A 21,284-nucleotide genomic window follows, 5' to 3' on the forward strand; every position below is an offset into this window, starting at 1 on the left:
AATAGAGCAAGAACTCACTCATTATCCTGGAGAAGACACTGAGTTATTCATGAGGGATCTGCCCCTATGACCCAAACACTTCCCACCAGGCCTCACCTCCAACATTGGGGATCACATTTCAACATGAGATTTGGAAGGGACAGACATCCAAACTATATCAGAGTCTAACCTTGGAAGCTGCTATTTTTCCATCATTTACTTCTATTTAAATTTCTCTTAAAAGAAATGGAAAATGGGCTTGTTTCTTTTTTGAACCTGATTACCTTCCTGTTTCTTTTCCCTTACCCTCAGGGTTCTGTGGTTAATGGTCTTTTAAAAGTAGGTCTCCTTGTGTCTCCCTCACTCTCTCATTCCAGAGTGTTTCCTTTTGTCACTGTGTTCAGGATACTTGCTGTGGGAAAGTCTTGAGGTGAGAGATTGTGCTGTGGTGTTCTCAGTATTTCAGTAATTCCATAACTTGGTGTGAGATTCATCACAGGCAAACCCATGCTCTAACACAAAGTGAGAGTCCACTGTAAAAATAAATCATATTCCTTTTCATGGGTTCATAGTTATTCACTAACAGGAGGCTTTTGCATAAGGCTCTCTGCTATAAATTCCTCCTGGGATAATGAGAGGCTCCCCTATGTGAATCCCAGGATCACTTTCTTCTACCAGGTTTACCCCCTGCTACATCCCATCGACAGGTGCTGTGGTTCATATGTCTCTGCTAAAGTGACAGTGCAATTTTTTTGTTGCTGTTATAAGACAGACTTATCATTTTTAAAAGATGCATCTTGCATGCATGTTTGAGGGGTTGTTTAAGCTTCATAGAATTGTGGTAACCCCAGATCAGGGCGGAATACACGTAGACATTTGAGGTTCTCCAGACCAGTAGAATCAGAGTAATGGATGAAGAGTTCTGTCAAGGCTTTGTAATTTCTAGCTGTCAAAGAGTACCCTGGGGCTGCATGAGCTGAGAGTGCGAGTGGTGTTTGATTGTGCCTTAAGCAAAGTGAATGTTTGAGCTAGAGGGAACCCCAGGGAGCATCTAGTCTGGCTTTCTTCTTGTGAAGTTAGGAACCTGAGGTCCAGAGATGTTAAAGAACTTCCCTAACATTAGTGTCAGAGGTGGAAGTAGATTCCAGGTCTCCCTGGGTCTCACTTCCTGAGTGTGTTTGTGTTTTTGTTTTCCAGCTTTCATTATGAAATAGCATTCTACTGAATGTGTATTACAATTTCTCATTGCCCTGCTAAAGAACAGTTTACTGACAATTAGACTATTTTAAAAAGCAGAGAAGTAGGGAGGATCTGATCTCTGTATTTGGTAAAATATCTACACAAAACCACCAATAACACTTCGTATAAAATGGTTTAGCACTGAAATAATGTGTAGATTCCATGTATGATACTTTCATCTCTCAAATGCTTCCAACAAAAGGGAAAGGTACATTCAAAAACTATTTAATGGATTATTCAGATGCTCAAAAAGGAATACACTGTGAAGTTCAGTGAGGAAAAAAATGCTGCTAGACCAGAAGCAATTAAAAGTGATGAAATTTAGAATAAAATAATTATATTTTCCAAAATCAAGCAAGAGAATAGAGCATTTCTAAAGTGGTTATATTACTTCTAAGGAAAAGTTAGCCAATGGAAAAGACTATTTGATTCAGGAAACTTTGAAGAAAATGGACTGTCTCCCAACGAATGAAATAATATAAAGAATTTGCCATTGGAGGCAATTGGGGAATGGTGATATTTTAAACACACTCTGCTAAAAACTAATCCTACAGACACATTGACCTTAAAGGGAATGTTTACATACGGACTTAGCTGTATCAAGGCTTTGTAATGAGGCAAAAAAAAAAGCCGTCTCTTTAAGTCCTTCCTCTTCTCTGGCCTGACTGGGACCCCAAAACCAAACAGGTCCACACTTTTTTGTTCCAGAGGGAGGAAGTAAATCATTTCAGAAATAAAATACTATGGTGATAACACCTTACGTTTTATGCTATATTTTATTATTTACAAAGCATTTTAATATATTATCTCATTTGATAGTTAGAATAACTGCATTATAATAATGCTTTTTTCCTAATATTGTTATCCCATTTACAGATGAAGAAACTGGGAAATTGAGGCTCAGAGAGATAGTGTGGTTTGCCCAGAGATCTCATCCCTCCAGGCTGTAGCAGAGCCAAAACTCAAACCCAGGTCTTTCAACTCTAAGCCATTCTCAGTGATGCCTCCTCCTCTCTTTAAGAGAGCTTCCCTGCCCACAGACCTAGACCTACGAAGGAGAATTGTCAGGCTCTTCCCAACTCTGTCTTGTGGCATCTTGGAAAAGACCTCTGTCTTCTTGTACATACCAGATCCACCCTCCACTTGCTAGGTATGGGCATATTCTTCCGCCCTTTAAACCTATGCCTCCAATAAATCATCAGCTCCAAAATCTCCTCTGCAGATGTTTAGTCTCAGATGTGTAGTCCTTAACACATACTATCGGAACTGCCCACTTTCCTCATTTGCAGATGTGAGGATGTTTGAACCCTTAGCCTTTATTGACATTCTTGGCTTTTCCTGAGTCTTTTAGAAGGTGATAGAAAAGCTGTGGATGCAGCAGAAATTGTTGTCGGGGTGGGATATTCCATGCAGGAAGACTGCGGGGGGGCTCTTTGTGCCATGATGTTGCCCTGCACAGACCACACCTGCAGTGAGGGGAGGCCTGTGAAGTGCTGAGATACCTTCCTTACTCTTCTAGAAGAGTCATGTCTGCTCCATCCAGCCTACAGACTTGCTACGTAAATTAAATGAGATAAACTATTTTTACATTCCCTTCAATATTTGTTATTTATACTCTACCTATTTTTAAGCAGATTTGAGCTAGCTGACATAATTGATATAAAAGTACTTTTAAACTGTTAGGGGCATGTAACTGCAAAATAATTTTTTTTTTTTTTTTTTTTTTTACCATTTATATACCATGTGCTCTGCCTGCTATCTCCTTTCCCACTTACTCTTTACACTTTACCTCAGGAATTTTAAATTATTTTTATGATTGATAGCAACTATAATGATTATGGGTTAGGTCTAGGTGTATGGGCTGTAACTATGTGATGGTTATTAAAATGGACTTTAAAAATTATTACGTAAATATCTGCTTTTTATCTCAGATTTTATTGCTAAAAGCCTTGTGGGTCTGCTTGACACAAGCCTTAGGGTATTTAGAGCTCTCCCCACCCACCATCAGCTATCACCTTTGTGAACTTTGCTGTCCCTCCTCCCACAAATAAATGCTGCTTTAATCACATAGTGAAAAAGCCAGTTAATTACTAAATTTATGAACTATGTGAACATTATAAAGCTAAGGAAGTAAAATATGTAAACATGACAGGAAGGGCAGACTGCACTTTCTGGTTGAGCCAGCCATACTGGGAGGTCACTGGTGGTTGCTGGAGAGCAGATGCTAAAGTTGAGAGTCGGTGTTTGCATCAGCAGTAACTGCTTTACATCTGCTTATGAGCTTGGATTCCTGTTGAGTGCTTACTAGGTGCCAGGCAGTATTGTGGGTGCTAAAGATGCAGTTTGAACAAAGCGGATGAATCCTTTTTCTTGCAGAGCTCACATGCTAGAGAGGGGACTAATAATAGACAAATTACAACTTACCATGCCTGTGAGCACAGGGACAGCGGCAAGAAACAATTCAGGGGGGCAGGTCCTTGGAAAGCCAAGGTGAAGAGTCAGGATTTTACTTGAAGTGTGAGTGGAATCATCGGAGGGTTTTGAAGAGAGGAAGAAATCAATGCTTTATGTTTTCAGAAAGACCTACAGGCTACAAAAAGTCACGGACTCATTTCAGAGCTGGAAAGAGGTTTCATCTGAAGTGTGAAATCCTCTTGATTGGTCATTTCTGCCTGCAGCCCTGGGTCAAGAAGGGTCTATAAAAGCGAGTACTAACTCACAGGGAAATTATTCTCCTACCAGTTAGCAGTGATGCCAGAGACACAAAGGATATTTTTCCTCATAGGTCCATAGCTGACCAGGGATTTGTTATAAAATAAATCGTAGATATGGCCAACGATATGAAATAAAAATAAAAAAGAAACAACCAAAAACCTTGATAATCACTTAAAAATGTAAAATTAGCAATTCATTTCCCCTACAATAGGTAGGTTAAGAAGGGAAATCCCTGTAGGAATGTTGTAAACCCATTTCAGTACAAAGGAGGGACAATCTGTACTTTGTCTGGATGTACTTGAAGAATTTCACATTTATTTTCACTAGAGGGCATCAGTAATGATGGAGACTAGCAGAATGTCTAGAAAATGCCAGAAAAAAAAGTAGTAAGATTAAATTTTCAAGGGAAAATGAAGTTCTACTGATAGCAGACTTATTTTTAAAAATCCCAAATAAACTGGTTTTATTAGTTCTACTCGCTGGAATTTTGTAAAATTTATTTTGGGAGTTATTCACACCTCATATCGCTAAAGTTGATATAGAGGGCCAATCACCATATAAAGACTTCTTTACCTCTTCAGTAATTCCAACCCACCTAAGAGTATTAAAAGTCTTGTATACTGTCCAATTTGTATAATTTGGTTAAAGTCATATTGAAGAAAAGAATTTAACTTTTAGCCTAAGAATTTATAGCAGAATTAAATGAAGACAGGGACGATTTACTTGATACTGAAAGAACTGTCATCTCTTTTAAAATAAAACATTTGGTTGAGTTGTTATATACCAGTGGCATTTCCATAAACTGGCCGTACACTTTTAATTGCCTTCCTAAGTTTGTAACCTAATGTTTTATGTTTATCCTTCCCACAAATTAATGCCGGCAAGTATATAACTAGGAATCTATGCATTGTATAAAGTCCTCCATAACTCCTCACCCTGAACTTTTAGGTCCCTTTCCAAAAACTTTTAAAAATCAAGATCTTAGGAAGGGAGATGAGGGGATTGGAAGTTTGGATGTAAAACAAGAAAACGTTGTCCCTCGTCTTCAAGGTGGGTGTTGACCACAGTACCTTGAGTAGGACACTGTATCTTTAGGGAAGAAGTGGGACTTCACTAAGCCAAAAGCTTGCACAGCTGTCCAGTTTGACCGGGGATTCCACACCACTATGAGAGATTCGTGACTAAGTGGTTGACCCAAGGGTAGGATGAAGATTTTCTCTCTTAGGTGCCTGGAAATATTGGAAGCACAGAGAACAGCATGGTGTTCGGTAATCTGAATATTCATATAAATTTTTCAGCATGTGAAAATTCTTTTTTTTTAATTATACTTTAACTTTTAGGGTACATGTGCACAATGTGCAGGTTGGTTACATATGTATACATGTGCCATGTTGGTGTGCTGCACCCATTAACTCATCATTTAACATTAGGAATATCTCCTAATGCTATCCCTCCCGCCTCCCCCCACCCCACAACAGGCCCCGGCGTGTGATGTTCCCCTTCCTGTGTCCATGTGTTCTCATTGTTCAATTCCCACCTATGAGTGAGAACATGCAGTGTTTGGTTTTTTGTCTTTGCGATAGTTTGCTGAGAATGATGGTTTCCAGCTTCATCCATGTCCCTACAAAGGACGTGAACTCATCATTTTTTATGGCTGCATAGTATTCCATGCTATATATGTGCCACATTTTCTTAATCCAGTCTATCATTGTTGGACATTTGGGTTGGTTCCAAGTCTTTGCTATTGTGAATAGTGCCACAATAAACATACGTGTGTACGTGTCTTTATAGCAGCATGATTTATAGTCCTTTGGGTATATACCCAGTAATGGGATGGCTGGGTCAAATGGTATTTCTAGTTCCAGATCCCTGAGGAATTGCCACACTGACTTCCACAATGGTTAAACTAGTTTACAGTCCCACCAACAGTGTAAAAGTGTTCCTATTTCTCCACATCCTCTCCAGCACCTGTTGTTTCCTGACTTTTTAGTGATTGCCATTCTAACTGGTGTGAGATGGTATCTCATTGTGGTTTTGATTTGCATTTCTCTGATGGCCAGTGATGATGAGCATTTTTTCATGTGCCTTTTGGCTGCATAAATGTCTTCTTTTGAGAAGTGTCTGTTCATATCCTTCGCCCACTTGTTGATGGGGTTGTTTTTTTCTTGTAAATTTGTTTGAGTTCATTGTAGATTCTGGATATTAGCCCTTTGTCAGATGAGTAGATTGCAAAAATTTTCTCCGATGCTGTAGGTTGCCTGTTCACTCTGATGGGAGTTTCTTTTGCTGTGCAGAAGCTCTTTAGTTTAATTAGATCCCATTTGTCAATTTTGGCTTTTGTTGCCATTGCTTTTGGTGTTTTAGACATGAAGTCCTTGCCCATGCCTATGTCCTGAATGGTATTGCCTAGGTTTTCTTCTGGGGTTTTTATGGTTTTAGGTCTAATGGTTAAGTCTTTAATCCATCTTGAATTAATTTTTGTATAAGGTATAAGGAAGGGATCCATTTTCAGCTTTCTACATATGGCTAGCCAGTTTTCCCAACACCATTTATTAAATAGGGAATCCTTTCCCCATTTCTTCTTTTTGTCAGGTTTGTCAAAGATCAGATAGTTGTAGATATGCGACATTATTTCTGAGGGCTCTGTTCTGTTCCATTGGTCTATATCTCTGTTTTGGTACCAATACCATGCTGTTTTGGTTACTGTAGCCTTGTAGTATAGTTTGAAGTCAGGTAGCGTGATGCCTCCAGCTTTGTTCTTTTGGCTTAGGATTGACTTGGCAATGAGGGCTCTTTTTTGGTTCCATATGAACTTTAAAGTAGTTTTATCCAATTCTGTGAAGAAAGTCATTGGTAGCTTGATGGGGATGGCATTGAATCTATAAATTACCTTGGGCAGTATGGCCATTTTCACGATATTGATTCTTCCTACCCATGAGCATGGAATGTTCTTCCATTTGTTTGTATCCTCTTTTATTTCGTTGAGCAGTGGTTTGTAGTTCTCCTTGAAGAGGTCCTTCACATCCCTTGTAAATTGGATTCCTAGATATTTTATTCTCTTTGAAGCAATTGTGAATGGGAGTTCACTCATGATTTGGCTTTCTGTTTGTCTGTTGTTGGTGTATAAGAATGCTTCTGATTTTTGCACATTGATTTTGTATCCTGAGACTTTGCTGAAGTTGCTTATCAGCTTAAGGAGATTTTGGGCTGAGACGATGGGGTTTTCTAGATATACAATCATGTCATCTGCAAACAGGGACAATTTGGCTTCCTCTTTTCCTAATTGAATACCCTTTATTTCCTTCCCCTGCCTGATTGCCCTGGCCAGAACTTCCAACACTATGTTGAATAGGAGTGGTGAGAGAGGGCATCCCTGTCTTGTGCCAGTTTTCAAAGGGAATGCTTCCAGTTTTTGCCCATTCAGTATGATATTGGCTGTGGGTTTGTCATAGATAGCTTATTATTTTGAGACACATCCCATCAATACCTAATTTATTGAGAGTTTTTAGCATGAAGGTTGTTGAATTTTGTCAAAGGCTTTTTCTGCATCTATTGAGATAATCATGTGGTTTTTGTCATTGGTTCTGTTTATATGCTGGATTACATTTATTGATTTGCATATGTTGAACCAGCCTTGCATCCCAGGGATGAAGCCCACTTGATCATGATGGATAAGCTTTTTGATGTGCTGCTGGATTCAGTTTGCCAGTATTTTATTGAGGATTTTTGCATCAATGTTTATCACGGATATTGGTCTAAAATTCTCTTTTTTTGTTGTGTCTCTGCCCGGCTTTGGTATCAGGATGATGCTGGCCTCATAAAATGAGTTAGGGAGGATTTCCTCTTTTTCTATTGATTGGAGTAGCTTCAGAAGGAATGGTACCAGCTCCTCCTTGTACCTCTGGTAGAATTCGACTATGAGTCCGTCTGGTCCTGGACTTGTTTTGGTTGGTAAGCTATTAATTATTACTTCAATTTCAGAGCCTGTTATTGGTCTATTCAGAGATTCAACTTCTTCCTGGTTTAGTCTTGGGAGGGTGTGTGTGTCTAGGAATTTATCCATTTCTTCTAGATTTTCTAATTTATTTACATAGAGGTGTTTGTAGTATTCTCTGATGGTAGTTTGTATTTCTGTGGGATCGGTGGTGATATCCCCTTTAACATTTTTTATTGCATCTATTTGATTCTTCTCTCTTTTCTTCTTTATTAGTCTTGCTAGCGGTCTATCAATTTTGTTGATCTTTTCAAAAAACCAGCTCCTGGATTCATTGATTTTTTGAAGGGTTTTTTGTGTCTCTATTTCCTTCAGTTCTGCTCTGATCTTAGTTATTTCTTGCCTTCTGCTAGCTTTTGAATGTGCTTGCTCTTGCTTCTCTAGTTCTTTTAATTGTGATGTTAGGGTGTCAATTTTAGATCTTTCCTACTTTCTCTTGTGGGCATTTAGTGCTATAAATTTCCCTCTACACACTGCTTTGAATGTGTCCCAGAGATTCTGGTATGTGGTGTCTTTGTTCTCATTGGTTTCAAAGAACATCTTTATTTCTGCCTTCATTTCGTTATGTACCCAGTAGTCATTCAGGAGCAGGTTGTTCAGTTTCCATGTAGTTGAGCGGTTTTGAGTGAGTTTCTGAATCCTGAGTTCTAGTTTGATTGCACTGTGGTCTGAGAGACAGTTTGTTATAATTTCTGTTCTTTTACATTTGCTGAGGAGTGCTTTACTTCCAAGTATGTGGTCAATTTTGGAATAGGTGTGGTGTGGTGCTGAAAAGAATGTGTATTCTGTTGATTTGGGGTGGAGAGTTCTGTAGATGTCTATTAGGTCTGCTTGGTGCAGAGCTGAGTTCAATTCCTGGGTATCCTTGTTAACTTTCTGTCTCGTGGATCTGTCTAATGTTGAAAGTCGGGTGCTAAAGTCTCCCATTATTATTGTGTGGGAGTCTAAGTGTCTTTGTAGGTCCTAAGGACTTGCTTTATGAATCTGGGTGCTCCTTATTGGGTGCATATATATTTAGGATAGTTAGCTCTTCTTGTTGAATTGATCCCTTTACCATTATGTAATGGCCTTGTCTCTTTTGATCTTTGTTGGTTTAAAGTCTGTTTTATCCGAGGCTAGGATTGCAACCCCTGCCTTTTTTTTTTTTTCCATTTGCTTGGTAGATCTTCCTCTATCCCTTTATTTTGAGCCTATGTGTGTCTCTGCCCGTGAGATGGGTTTCCTGAATACAGCACACTAATGGGTCTTGACTCTTTATCTAATTTGGCAGTCTGTGTCTTTTAATTGGAGCATCTAGCCCATTTACATTTAAGGTTAATATTGTTATGTGTGAATTTGATCCTGTCATTATGATGTTAGCTGGTGATTTTGCGCGTTAGTTGATGCAGTTTCTTCCTAGCCTCGATGGTCTTTACAATTTGGCATGTTTTTGCAGTGGCTGGTACCGATTGTTCCTTTCCATGTTTCTGCTTCCTTCAGGAGCTCTTTTAGGGCAGGCCTGGTGGTGACAAAATCTCTCAGCATTTGCCTTTCTGTAAAGTATTTTATTTCTCCTTCACTTATGAAACTTAGTTTGGCTGGATATGAAATTCTGGTTTGAAAATTCTTTTCTTTAAGAATGTTGAACATTGGCCCCCACTGTCTTCTGGCTTGTAGAGTTTCTGCCGAGAGATCAGCTGTTAGTATGATGGGCTTCCCTTTGTGGGTAACCCGACCTTTCTCTCTGGCTGCCCTTAACATTTTTTCCTTCATTTTAACTTTTGTGAATCTGACAATTATGTGTCTTGGAGTTGCTCTTCTCAAGAAGTATCTTTGTGGCATTCTCTGTATTTCCTGAGTCTGAATTTTGGCCTGCCTTGCTAGATTGGGGAAGTTCTCCTGGATAATATCCTGAGGAGTGTTTTCCAACTTGGTTCCATTCTCCCCATCACTTTCAGGTACACCAGTCAGATGTACATTTGATCTTTTCACATAGTCACATATTTCTTGGAGGCTTTGTTCATTTCTTTGTATTCTTTTTTCTCTAAACTTCTCTTCTTGCCTCATTTCATTCATTTGATCTTCAGTCACTGATACCCTTTCTTCCAGTTGATCGAATCGGCTACTGAGGCTTGTGCATTCGTCATGTAGTTCTTGTGCCATGGTTTTCAGCTCCATCAGGTCCTTTAAGGACTTCTCTGCATTGGTTATTCTAGTTAGCCATTCATCTAATCTTTTTTCAAGGCTTTTAACTTGTTTGCCGTGGGTTCGAACTACCTCTTTGAGCTCAGAGTAGTTTGATCGTCTGAAGCCTTCTTCTCTCAATTCGTCAAAGTCATTCTCCATCCAGCTTTGTTCCGTTGCTGGTGAGGAACTGCGTTCCTTTGGAGGAGGAGAGGCACTCTGATTTTTAAAATTTTCAGTTTTTCTGCTCTGTTTTTTCCCCATCTTTGTGGTTTTATCTACCTTTGGTCTTTGATGACGATGACGTACAGATGGAGTTTTGGTGTGGGTGTCCTTTCTGTTCATTAGTTTTCCTTCTAACAGTCAGGACCCTCAGCTGCAGGTCTGTTGAGGTTTGCTGGAGGTCCACTCCAGACCCTGTTTGCCTGGGTATCAGCAGCAGAGGCTGCAGAACAGCGGATATTGGTGAATAGCAAATGTTGCTGCCTGATCGTTCCTCTGGAAGTTTTGTCTCAGAGGAGTACCCGGCCTTGTGAGGTGTCAGTCTGCCCCTACTCGGGGGTGCCTCCCAGTTAGGCTACTTGGGGGTCAGGGACCCACTTGAGGAGGCAGTCTGTCCATTCTCAGATCTCAAGCTGCAGGCTGAGAGAACCACTACTCTCTTCAAAGCTGTCAGACAAGGACATTTAAGTCTGTAGAGGTTTCTGCTGCCTTTTGTTTGGCTATGCCATGCCCCCAGAGGTGGAGACTACAGAGGCAGGCAGGCCTCCTTGAGCTGCGATGGGCTCCACCCAGTTCGAGCTTCCTGGCTGCTTTGTTTACCTACTCAAGCCTCGGCAATGGTGGGCACCCCTCCCCCAGCCTCGCTGCCACCTTGCTGTTTGATTTCAGACTGCTGTGCTAGCAATGACCGAGGCTCCATGGGCTTAGGACCCTCCGAGCCAGGTGTGGGATACAATGTCCTGGTGTGACGTTTGCTAAGACCATTGGAAAAGCGCAGTATTAGGGTGGGAATGACCTGATTTTCCAGGTGCTGTCTGTCACCCCTTTCCTTGGCTGGGAAAGGGAATTCCCTGACCCCTTGCACTTCCCGGGTGAGGTGATGCCTCTACCTGCTTCGGCTCACACTCAGTGCACTGCACCCACTGTCCTGCACCCACTCTCCGACATTCACCAGTGAGATGAACCTGGTACCTCAGTTGGAAATGCAGAAATCATTTGTCTTCTTCGTCGCTCACGGTGGGAGCTGTAGACTGGAGCTGTTCCTATTCGGCCATCTTGGCTCCACTCCCCCAGCATTTGAAAATTCTTAGAAACACAGAATAATGGCAAAAATTTTAAGTGTCACATAGCTGATGATGCTAGTTTGCATTGCATAGCTCTTTCCTGTGTATCAAATGCTTTCATGGATGCTATCTCAGGAGGTCCTCTCACTAGGGAAGGTAGACAGGGCAGATGGACAAAGCCGAAGCTCAGTGAGGAAAATACTGTTTCATGACACAAAAACAAACCACCCCAAAGGTGTACTATACCCCACTAAGTATCTGGCAATTACTACACCTGTGTGGTGAGCTGGGTTTCAGCTGGTGTTGGCTGGGCCCTGCATTTCTGGGCTTCTAGCTGCAGGTTGGGTTCAGGTATGTTCCACACCCCTCTAATCCTCTTTGGAGTGGCAACTATGGAAGAATGTCCTTCTTACAGTGAAAGGCAGGGCACAAAAGAGCAGACGTAATGCCACAGTCACATTTCAAATCTGTGTTTGTGTCATTACCACTGTTTATGCAAACTGTCAGTGGGGCAGAGAAGTATCATCCACTCATGAAAGTTGGAAGAGAGGAGGGAGTGATTATTTGCTGAATAATCATCTCATCTCCCATAGTAGGTTCTGACTCCTAGGCTTGTCAGCTACTCCTAGCTAAAACAAGTGAGTTCATTTTTTGCTGTTTAAAAAATCCTTTTAGGCCATTATCACATAGCTCCTTCAAGACAAATGCATGACTATGGAATAATAACTCTTATTCTAATATATAGGAGAAAGAAAAAAAACTTCGTTTCCAATACTTAAGATGGAAGCACTGTTTTGCCCCCAAAATGTTAAAGTCAGACCAACAGGATGATAAACTGACTACTAATTATTCGCTCCGGCGTAAGATCTGATAAGATTTCCTTCACGTACACTGTCCTTCATGCAGCACTGGCAGAGAGCACCTTTGTAGCTAACAAACAATAATACTCCCAATGGAGATTGTTTAAAAAGGACATAAGTATGTATGTAAACAGATGCTCATGCCTTTAGAGCCAGCTTTGTAAATCCAATTAATAATCTCTCAACTGTAAAAAAGGAGGACAATTGACATCCTCTCAGAATGCCAATCCTCACTCTCCACTAGTGTATTAGAATCACAGGATTATATATCGGGAGTTAGAGGAGCATCAACGTATTTGTGGATTTTATTCATTTGACTGTTGCCTCAAAAGGAGTAATGTAGGATAGATGAAGCATTTGCCCTCCCTGGAGTAATACTGCTTTCTATATACCATATGTCTCCTTCTGAAGTATATAACTGTAAAAGATGGTCAGTTTTTCAAGTATATTATTATTAATAGTTTCAGTGGCAATATTAATAGCTAACAGATACTGAGTGTTTTTTTTATGTGTCAGGGACTTATCAGCTCTTGAGATGCATTTTCTTATTGAACATTCCTAGTAACTATGAAGTGGGTACTGCTGTTATCCCAATTTGAGATATGGGGAAACTGAGGCATGGAATGATTAAGTAATCTGTTCAAGGTTTCTAGAATTTGAAAGACATATGTTTATCATTCCCTGTAAACAAAAGACAGATTTATTCTCCTAGACTTAAAAAGGTAAGGCACTCTGACGCAGGTGGAAAGAGAGTTGGGAGAGAGGAATGTTGAGAATCTTGTTTGTATGCATGTTCTTATGCATGTTTTTCGTTGCTGGTCAAGGAGTTTTGATCTGTTTGTTCTGCTACTAGCTTTGTGCATTATCAGGGTAGCACTTCAAGTCTCTACCATTTAAGACCCAGAGGGGTGTCATGGTATAGTGACTAGGAGCACAGACTCCAGATCTACACTGTCTAAGTTCACATCTCTGCTCTGTCACTTATGAGCTGTGTAATGTGGACAAATTGGTCAATGTCTCTGTACCATTTCACCATGTAAAAAATGGAGATAATCATACCCCTACCCATAGCATTATTACATGGATTACAGTGAGTTCATATTTGCAAACCACAGAGGATACAAGAAACATCTGTTAAACATCAAATAGGAGTCGTGGGTATCCTAGCTCTTTGGTAAGAGTAGACTGGAGTAGAGTCCTGGTTCAGTCTCTGTCACTATAGCCCGCATCACAGCCTCAGGCAACTCAACCTTTCTAGCCTCGGTTTACCCATTTGTAAATTAAGTGGTTAGGCCACTTGGTTGCTTGGGTCCCATCTAGCACTCAGATCCTCTGGAGCTGCTCTATCTTCCCCTTTAGAGAGTTTGGATGGGGGATTTGGAAGGGGAAGGGGATGCACAGAGAGTGAGACACAACATTTTTCTCCTGCTTTCTTTTCTGGGAGCTGTAAATTTGTTCTTGTTTATGAATAGTATGCTTTAGACTTTAATAAATGCCTAACTTAGTTCTCTAGAGAAAAATGTCTTGTGGAAAGAGAAGTAGTCTATGACTTTTAGGTAGAGAAAGGTGTAGATGGTTTGGCGACCTCATCTGGGAACATGCATTGACTAACCCCACAATGTTATTTCTATGTTAGAAACACAAATGTCATCACAAGCAATAATGTTTAATGAATACAGTAGAACATTTGTTTCCAGAAGTTGCTCAAAGATTACTCATTTAGAAAAGCATGCTGTTAGTAATTGAAGGATGATTTCCTATAGCCAGGGCAAGTTCAGATGCTTTAGCCTCACGGGTAAAGGACTGAAGAGGCTGCTCAGCATTTTAAGGTAGCTCTACTGGGTGGCAGTGACAGGGCAGTGCAATTCTGTTCAGCATTGATGTGTTACATCAAAACCTCTCACTGATAATGCTGGGGCTGTGTCAAATCTGAGCCATTAAATATCTTAGGAATATCAAGTGTTTTAAAGGTGTGGATTGCAGTTTAGAGTAACATACATATTATTCTAAAATGCCTGTTGGAATCACCATGCCCTTTGGGAGTTAAGATATATAAAATCCTAAAATTTTGGGAAAAGTCTGGCCCTCTTTATTTGAGGTCAACTCTTTTCTGCTGTACACAAATACTGCTTTACTTCTGTTCCAAGGACTATAGATTCAGCTTTTAAAATATCTTGATCAGAGTGTTGACTGAAGTGTTCACTGATGGCTTGGTTTTCCTAACAGATATAAGAAAGTAAAGTGTGCATAAAAATTCTTGTGAATACTTGTGAGTGTAGCTTTCTTCTATTGAAGGCCTCTCAGTATTGGTTCGCATGATTTGTTGGAGGCTACTTGTGACCTTGTATGTTTGCTGCCCCACTGTATTCACAGTCCCTAGCAAGTTGCAGACACACAATAAGTACTTGTAGAATGAATGAATAAAATACTGTGCCTTCTAGCCAAAAGGATTTGAGTGTGTTATTTGTAACATAAACAAATAATTAGGGTAACTGTTTGAAATGTAACCAGAGTGATTTATGACAGTGTTAATTGTTCATCCTTGTAAGGGACTGGAGCCTTTTGCCTTCATGGAAGCAACCCCCAGAAAGGTACTGGGCTCAGCATCTCTACCAGATGATGAAGCGCCCTTCAGTGTGGCCACGGCTTTTTGCTTAAATCATTGCTACTTTTTTTTTACCAGCTCAGTAGGAGTGAATGCATGTGTTACAACGAAAAATAATCCTAAATTGAAATTGTGAGTAACTGAATATATGATTTAGAAGAGTTAATTATGAAGAACAGCTAGAATTTCATGTGGCATTTAGATGTACTCATTTTTATATTGATTTATAAACTAATGCTTGTTCCATGGTATTGTTTATACTATATGATGTCAAAGCCATTTGCAAAAGATCTACTGAAGTTTGAGCCTTTTTATGATCCTTCTATGGACCCCCCTCTTTGTCTGCTCACTCCCACTCCTCCCAAAAAAAGAAAGAAAAGTGTTAGCTACAAATCTAGTTTCAGCCTTTCAAGTCCTTTGAACATATGTGAAGTTTTTTATTGGTTGTTTGAACTTTTTATTCATGTCTTTCTGTCATTGAAGTTAAAAACACAGCAGTATAAGATACAAAAACATTGGTGAGAAGAGAATAAGGAAAATTAAAATTAATCTCCTGAAGTGTACACTGCATGCTTATATGCAAATGAGTAAAATCCAATTTGGGTTTTATCTTCCTGTGGGTTAAAGTTTGCTTTGTAGTGCCTCAAGACATTTCAGGTGTAGCTTTTTTAAGCCAAGGGACTTTACAATATGCAGCATTGTTCTCCAGTTGTTTTCCTGTGGAATGTCAACGAATTGCAGTGCTTACGTGCATGGCGGTTTGAGAGAAAACCTTTCCAATCTTCTGTTCCCTGCCCTGTCACTTAGCAAGTGATTTCTTCTCGGCAAGCTCTCCTACCTGATCTCCTGCTGTGTTGGGATCATCCTCTGCAATGTCCCTGCACTAAGAGGAGAAGGTGAAAATCAGCCTGCAGGTTCAAATTAATTGCACTTCTCAGTTATGCTGTGAGTTAGCCAGTGCTTTAAATAATGACATTCTAAACTTCTAGTTTAAACATAATTGGAAAGAGAAAGTTGACATTAAAGTAATAAGTGAGAGTAAACTTAAGTGAAGGAGAACAGTGTAAAACATTCATATGCAAATACTCAAATACTCTTGATAAAATTATTCATAGGCAGTTGACTATTTTATTAAATATGCTTGTTGTCAACTTGGGGCACCAATTTTAACACCTTTTTGTTTTCAAAACTTAACGTGGCTAATTATGTTTTTTCATCTAATGGAACATTACTTTTATTTATGATGGAAGTAGTTTGTAAAATAAAAATTTTATTCTAATTATAAATGTCATGTTCGTGGCAGAAAACATTAGAAATGCCTCCATTTGAAATCATGTACTTTGGCAGTTATGATCTGAAAGCTGTTGGATATAAATGATGAGGCTCTGTGTGTTCCTGGAGCTAGCTTCCGGTGTTTGAGTTTGTCCTGTCTTCATTTGGAAAAGAAACAGATGCAGTTAGTGTCTCTAGCTGTAGTCTCTAGTGGGGACTCTGTCTGTATCCATACTGTAGCATTTTTCATTCTGTATCTGTAATTCTATATTTAGTTTTCAATGCCACCGAACTGTAACCAGGACTTAGTTATTTTTATGTGCCCATTGCCCAATGTAGCACCTGGCACACAGGCACATGCCCAGGCAATATTTGCTAAAAGAATTAAGGTTTTATGTGAATAAAACCTCATAACATGCCTCACATGGCATGTTTCACTATCAATTTAGTCTCTTTTGTGCACAGCTAAAATTAGCATTGTATTTCTGGAAAAAAATTATATTAGCATATCCTGTCAAGCTCTAAAAGAGGTAATTCTTAGAACTAATATTTATGTGCAATTAATTGCTAAGAATAATAATTTACTTATAAATGCAAGATTGTATTACTTTTATCTGTAATAGAATTCCTATTCATCCTGAAATCATAGCAAATTATTAAGCTTGCTTTGCGGATAGTACAAAGTTAAGGAAATCAAATTTGTTTTATGAGGGCATTTGACTTAATTAATTTTTAAAATGTCTCTTGCTTTCTTAATACCAAACTTTAGATAATTTTTTAAAAAAGAACTTCATACAAAGAACTGTTCCTCCTGTTTCTCCTTTGTCAGTTAATCCTCAAACCTAGACTATGCCCTTAAATTCCTATTCTACACCAACTGGCTGAATTATGTTGCATCTTGTAAAATGCAGCCTAGTAGAGAATAAACTCAGAAATTAGACATTCCTTTGAAACAAATAAATACACATTTGTTGGTAAGCCCTTTTGCCTGTGTCTGTAGAACAATGGATGTTTGTAATCGGGGCTGATCTTCAGCTAATGCACACCTTTATTGCATAATGGCTAGTTTCTGTTCTGACTGGTCAATGCCTGTGCCTAACAGGTTATTAAATATTTTGTCAATTACCCCTGTTTGATTGATAACTCCAAAACTCCAGGAGAACTCCTCTTTATATACCTTCTGAATTACCACAGAAAGATTAATTTCTTCTCCAAATAATAATTGAGTTGTGTGTGAAATTCCACATCTTTGTAACCTGGAAATTGGAGATCAGTCAGTGCTCTATGAATCATCGACTCCTCCCTTTCTGTCGCACTTCATTTCTAACTCACCAGCAGATCTCACTTGTTCATCCTCCAAAGCATTTTCCGACTCTGATCTCCTTCTCACTGCATTCACTCGGTTCCCATAGCCCAAGTCATATTGTCTCTCTCCTGGACAGTAATAACCTTTTGTTGGGCTCCCTGCTTCCAACCTTGCCTTCTGTAGTGTACTTTCCAAATAGAAGCCAGAGTGATACCTTATATTAAAAAAAAAAAAAAAAAAAAAAAAAGCCCATACCAGATCATATCTTAAAGGCCACAAACCCTTCTGCCTGTCTCTGTCTCAGCCTCCACCTCTCTCTCCTGGGTTCTATGTCATATGCAGCTATCCTGGCCTCCAGCACATTCCAGCCTAGCATACTCGTTATGGGAATGCAAGCCCCCTGCAAATAGAAAGGTTTTTTGGTTTGTTTCTCTGCTGTGTCTTCAGCCCCAAGAATTATATACCTGACACACAGTAGTTGCTCAATACATAGTAGTTGAAATGAATGAATAAATAATTGCATAGTGTTTAAAGATAGGAAACTGAGTGTGTGTTTTTCTTTTTGTTCTTCTTATCCAATGGTATTCTTGTACATGAAACATACCATAACAAAGCAATATAAGTCATTTTTATTTTCTCCTTTAAAAACTTATAATTAAAAGCAGACAAGAAGTCAGGCACAGCGGCTCGTGCTTGTAATCTCAGCTACTCAGGAGGCTGAGGCGGGAGGATCGCTTGAGGCCAGGAGTTTGTGACCAGCCTGAGCAACAGTGAGATGCCATCTCTAAAAATAGATAAATACATAATTAGTCAGGCATGGTGGTGAGTGCCTGTAGTCTCAGGTACTTGGGAGGCTGAGGTGGAAGGATCCCTTGAGCCCAAGAATTCAAGGCTACAGTGAGCTATGATTGTGCCACTGCACTCCATCCAGAGTGAGACACCATCTCTAAAAAAATTTAAATTTAAATTTAAAAAAAGCAGACAACACTGAAAAAGGACACCAACCATTATTAAGCAGAATTAAGCCTAATAAGTATTAAATCATTAAAAAGAAATAAGATCAATACTTTAAAAAACTAATGTTACTGAAGGATGTATATGTGAATGCTGTCTAAATAGAAAGACACAAACGTTTTACATCATCCTTTTCAGGTTAATATATATTTTAATAGGACACAATCAGATTTCCAATGGAAACATTTTTTAAAATTTTTTGTTTGTTGTTTGTTAGCACAGGGTCTTGCTCTGTCACTCAGGCTGGAGTACGGTGGCACAATCATGGCTTAGTGCAGCCTCTACCTTCCAAACTCAAGGGATCCTCCCACATTAGCCTCCTGAGTAGCTAGAACTGCAGGTACACACCACCACACCTAGCTGATTTTTCAATTTTTTTGTAGAGGTGGGTCTCCCTGTGTTGGCCAAGCTGGTTGCAAACTCCAAGGCCCAAGCAATCCTCCCACCTCGGCCTCCCAAAATGCTGGGATTATAGCCATGAGCCACCACACCCAGCCTGTGTATTGTGTTGACTAACTGTTTTATTTTAAACTGGTCTGTCCTTATAAGAAGAACCTAAAGTGTTCTCACACTGGTCTACATCAGATCTCCTTGTTTGCTTTGCTAGAACACTTACCACTTTCTAAAATTAACTCATTTATTTTGTTGTTGCTGCTGCTGCTGCTGCTGCTGGTGGTGGTGGTGGTGGTGGTGGTAGTGATGGTGATGGTGGTGTTTATGTTTTTATTGTCTGTCTCATGTTTCTAGAATAAGAGCTCCGTGAAGAAAGAGACTTGTTCTGTTTTGTTCATGCCTATATTCTCAGCATGAGAAGAATCCTTAGCACATATTAGGAACCATTAACTATGTGTGGAATTAATGAAAAAGGAAATGTTCAGGCTGGGCTTTGTGGCTCATGCCTATAATTCCAGCCCTTTGGGAGTCCAAAGCAGGAGGATTGCTTGAGCCCAGGAATTTGAGACCAGCATGGGCAACATAGTGAAACTTCACCTCTACCAAAAAAATTTTAAGTTAGCCAGGCATGGTGGCATGCTCCTGTAGTCCCAGCTACTTGGGAGGCTGAGGTAAGAGGATCAGTTGAGCTTGGGAGGTCAAGGCTGCAGTGAGCGTGATTATGCCATTGCACTCCAGCCTGGGTGACAGAGCAAGACCTTGTCTTTAAAAATAAAAAAGGAAATGTTAAAAAAAAGAGAAAGAAATGTTCAAAACTTGCCCCAATAATTTTTACCAAAAAAAAAAGAATACTAGTAAGAAAAGACATTTCCTAGATAAGAAGAGCCACTCTAATTAAAACACTATGATACTGACATAAATAGATAAGTATTAAAGAGTCCAGGCTCTTATATATTTTGGAAAGTAATATAGGATAAAGGTGTCACTTCAAATTATCAGAGAAAGAGTGATCCATAATGATTGATTTTTACCGAATCCTGGCATAATTGTCTGTCCTCCTTGAACAAAGAAAATGTCATACCATATTTACAAAATAAATTCCAGATAGTAAAGCCAAGAAGTAACAATTTGTTAAAAAAATAATAATAAGTAGGAGAAAAATGAAGTTATTGTTTGTATAAAATCAAGATCAGGGTCTTTTTCTTTAAGCAAGACAAGAAAGCCAAAAGAAAAAGAATAATTTGGGGCAGGGCCAAGATGGCCGACTAGAAGCAGTGGTGATCTGAGGCTCTCATCAAAAAGAACTAAAACAGCTTGCTATCCTGCACTGGCAACCAAGGTATCCAGGTTCTGTCATGGGGACAGACCAGGCAGCTGGCATGATCCACCGAGAGGAAGGAAGAGCAGTGTAGTGCGGCGGCCCACCTGAGAGCCACATGGGGCAGGGGACCCCTCACCCCCCCAGCCAAGGGAGGCAGTGAGTGAGCGTGCTACCCAGCCTGGGAAACTGTGCTTTTTCCACGGAACTGTGCAACCCACGGATCGGAAGATCCCACTCATGAGCCCATGCCACCGGGGCCTAGGGTCCCAACCATGGAGCTGCTCAGATTCTCAACAGCCACTAAGCTAGAATCTGCTTAAGCCTGCCAAGCTCCTGGTGGGAGGGCCGGCCATCACCACAGCTGCGGGTGCCTGCTGTCTAAGCCCTCTGTGCTCCTTCAGGGAGGGGCAGCAGCCAACACTGGGACTGCTAGCTGCCTAACACACTAAGCTCCCAGGGCGGGGTAAGGGCAGCAGCCATCTCTATAGCTCTAGGCCATGCTCTTCCCCTGCTGAAGCCAGGGAGGCTGGATGGCTTGGTCCCAAGAGGGATTCCCCACAGCCCAACACACTGGCTGTGGCAGATTGTGGCCAGAGTACCTCTTCAGACCTGACCCTGACTCATCTTTTCTCATGGGGACGGGGCATCCCTGCAGGAACTCCAACAACTCCAGGCAGGGGCTCAGGGGCAGAACTCTGATCTCTCTGGGCCTGAGCCCCTAGGGGGAGGGGTGGCCATAGTCTCTGCAGACCAGCAGACTTAGTCTTTCCTCCTGCTAGTTCTGAGGAACCCAGGCAGCCCAGATGAGTAGGTTTCCATCCAGCTCGGCACACCCCCTCCACCAAGGGACAACCAAAGTGCTTCATTAAATGGGTCCTGCTCCCCGTGCCACCCAACTGGGCGAGACCCTCTTAACGGGTTGTCAGACACCCTATATAGGAATGTTTCTATTAGCATCAGGTAGGTGCCCCTTGAGGTCAGATATCTCAGAGGAAGGAGCAGGTACCCATCTTTGCCGTTCTCCAGCCTCCTCAAGTTCACTCCAGGTGCAGGAGTGAAACAGATAAATAGGGCCTGAAGTAAATGCCCAGCAAACCACAGCAGCCATACAGAAGAGGGACCTGACCATTGAAAGAA

At 40.4% G+C, this 21,284-nt stretch overlaps 1 protein-coding gene across 4 annotated transcripts in view, besides 2 other annotated features; it reads left to right on the plus strand.

Annotated features, from left to right (window-relative positions):
• CDK14 (cyclin dependent kinase 14) overlaps positions 1-21,284 on the plus strand; it is a 614,270-nt gene that overhangs the window by 454,846 nt on the left and 138,140 nt on the right. The gene's annotated exons all lie outside the window — the stretch shown is intronic.
• Positions 10,473-10,973: an enhancer, noted in NCBI's record as "H3K4me1 hESC enhancer chr7:90690954-90691454 (GRCh37/hg19 assembly coordinates)". NCBI's record gives its function as "activates a minimal SCP1, AML or CMV promoter by ChIP-STARR-seq in naive H9 embryonic stem cells {active_cell/tissue: H9 hESC(naive)}" and the evidence as "EXISTENCE:reporter gene assay evidence [ECO:0000049][PMID:30033119]".
• Positions 10,974-11,474: an enhancer, noted in NCBI's record as "H3K4me1 hESC enhancer chr7:90691455-90691955 (GRCh37/hg19 assembly coordinates)". NCBI's record gives its function as "activates a minimal SCP1, AML or CMV promoter by ChIP-STARR-seq in primed H9 embryonic stem cells {active_cell/tissue: H9 hESC(primed)}" and the evidence as "EXISTENCE:reporter gene assay evidence [ECO:0000049][PMID:30033119]".

Source organism: Homo sapiens, chromosome 7 (assembly GCF_000001405.40).
Source record: "Homo sapiens chromosome 7, GRCh38.p14 Primary Assembly".
Classification (NCBI taxonomy): Eukaryota; Metazoa; Chordata; class Mammalia; order Primates; family Hominidae; genus Homo; species Homo sapiens.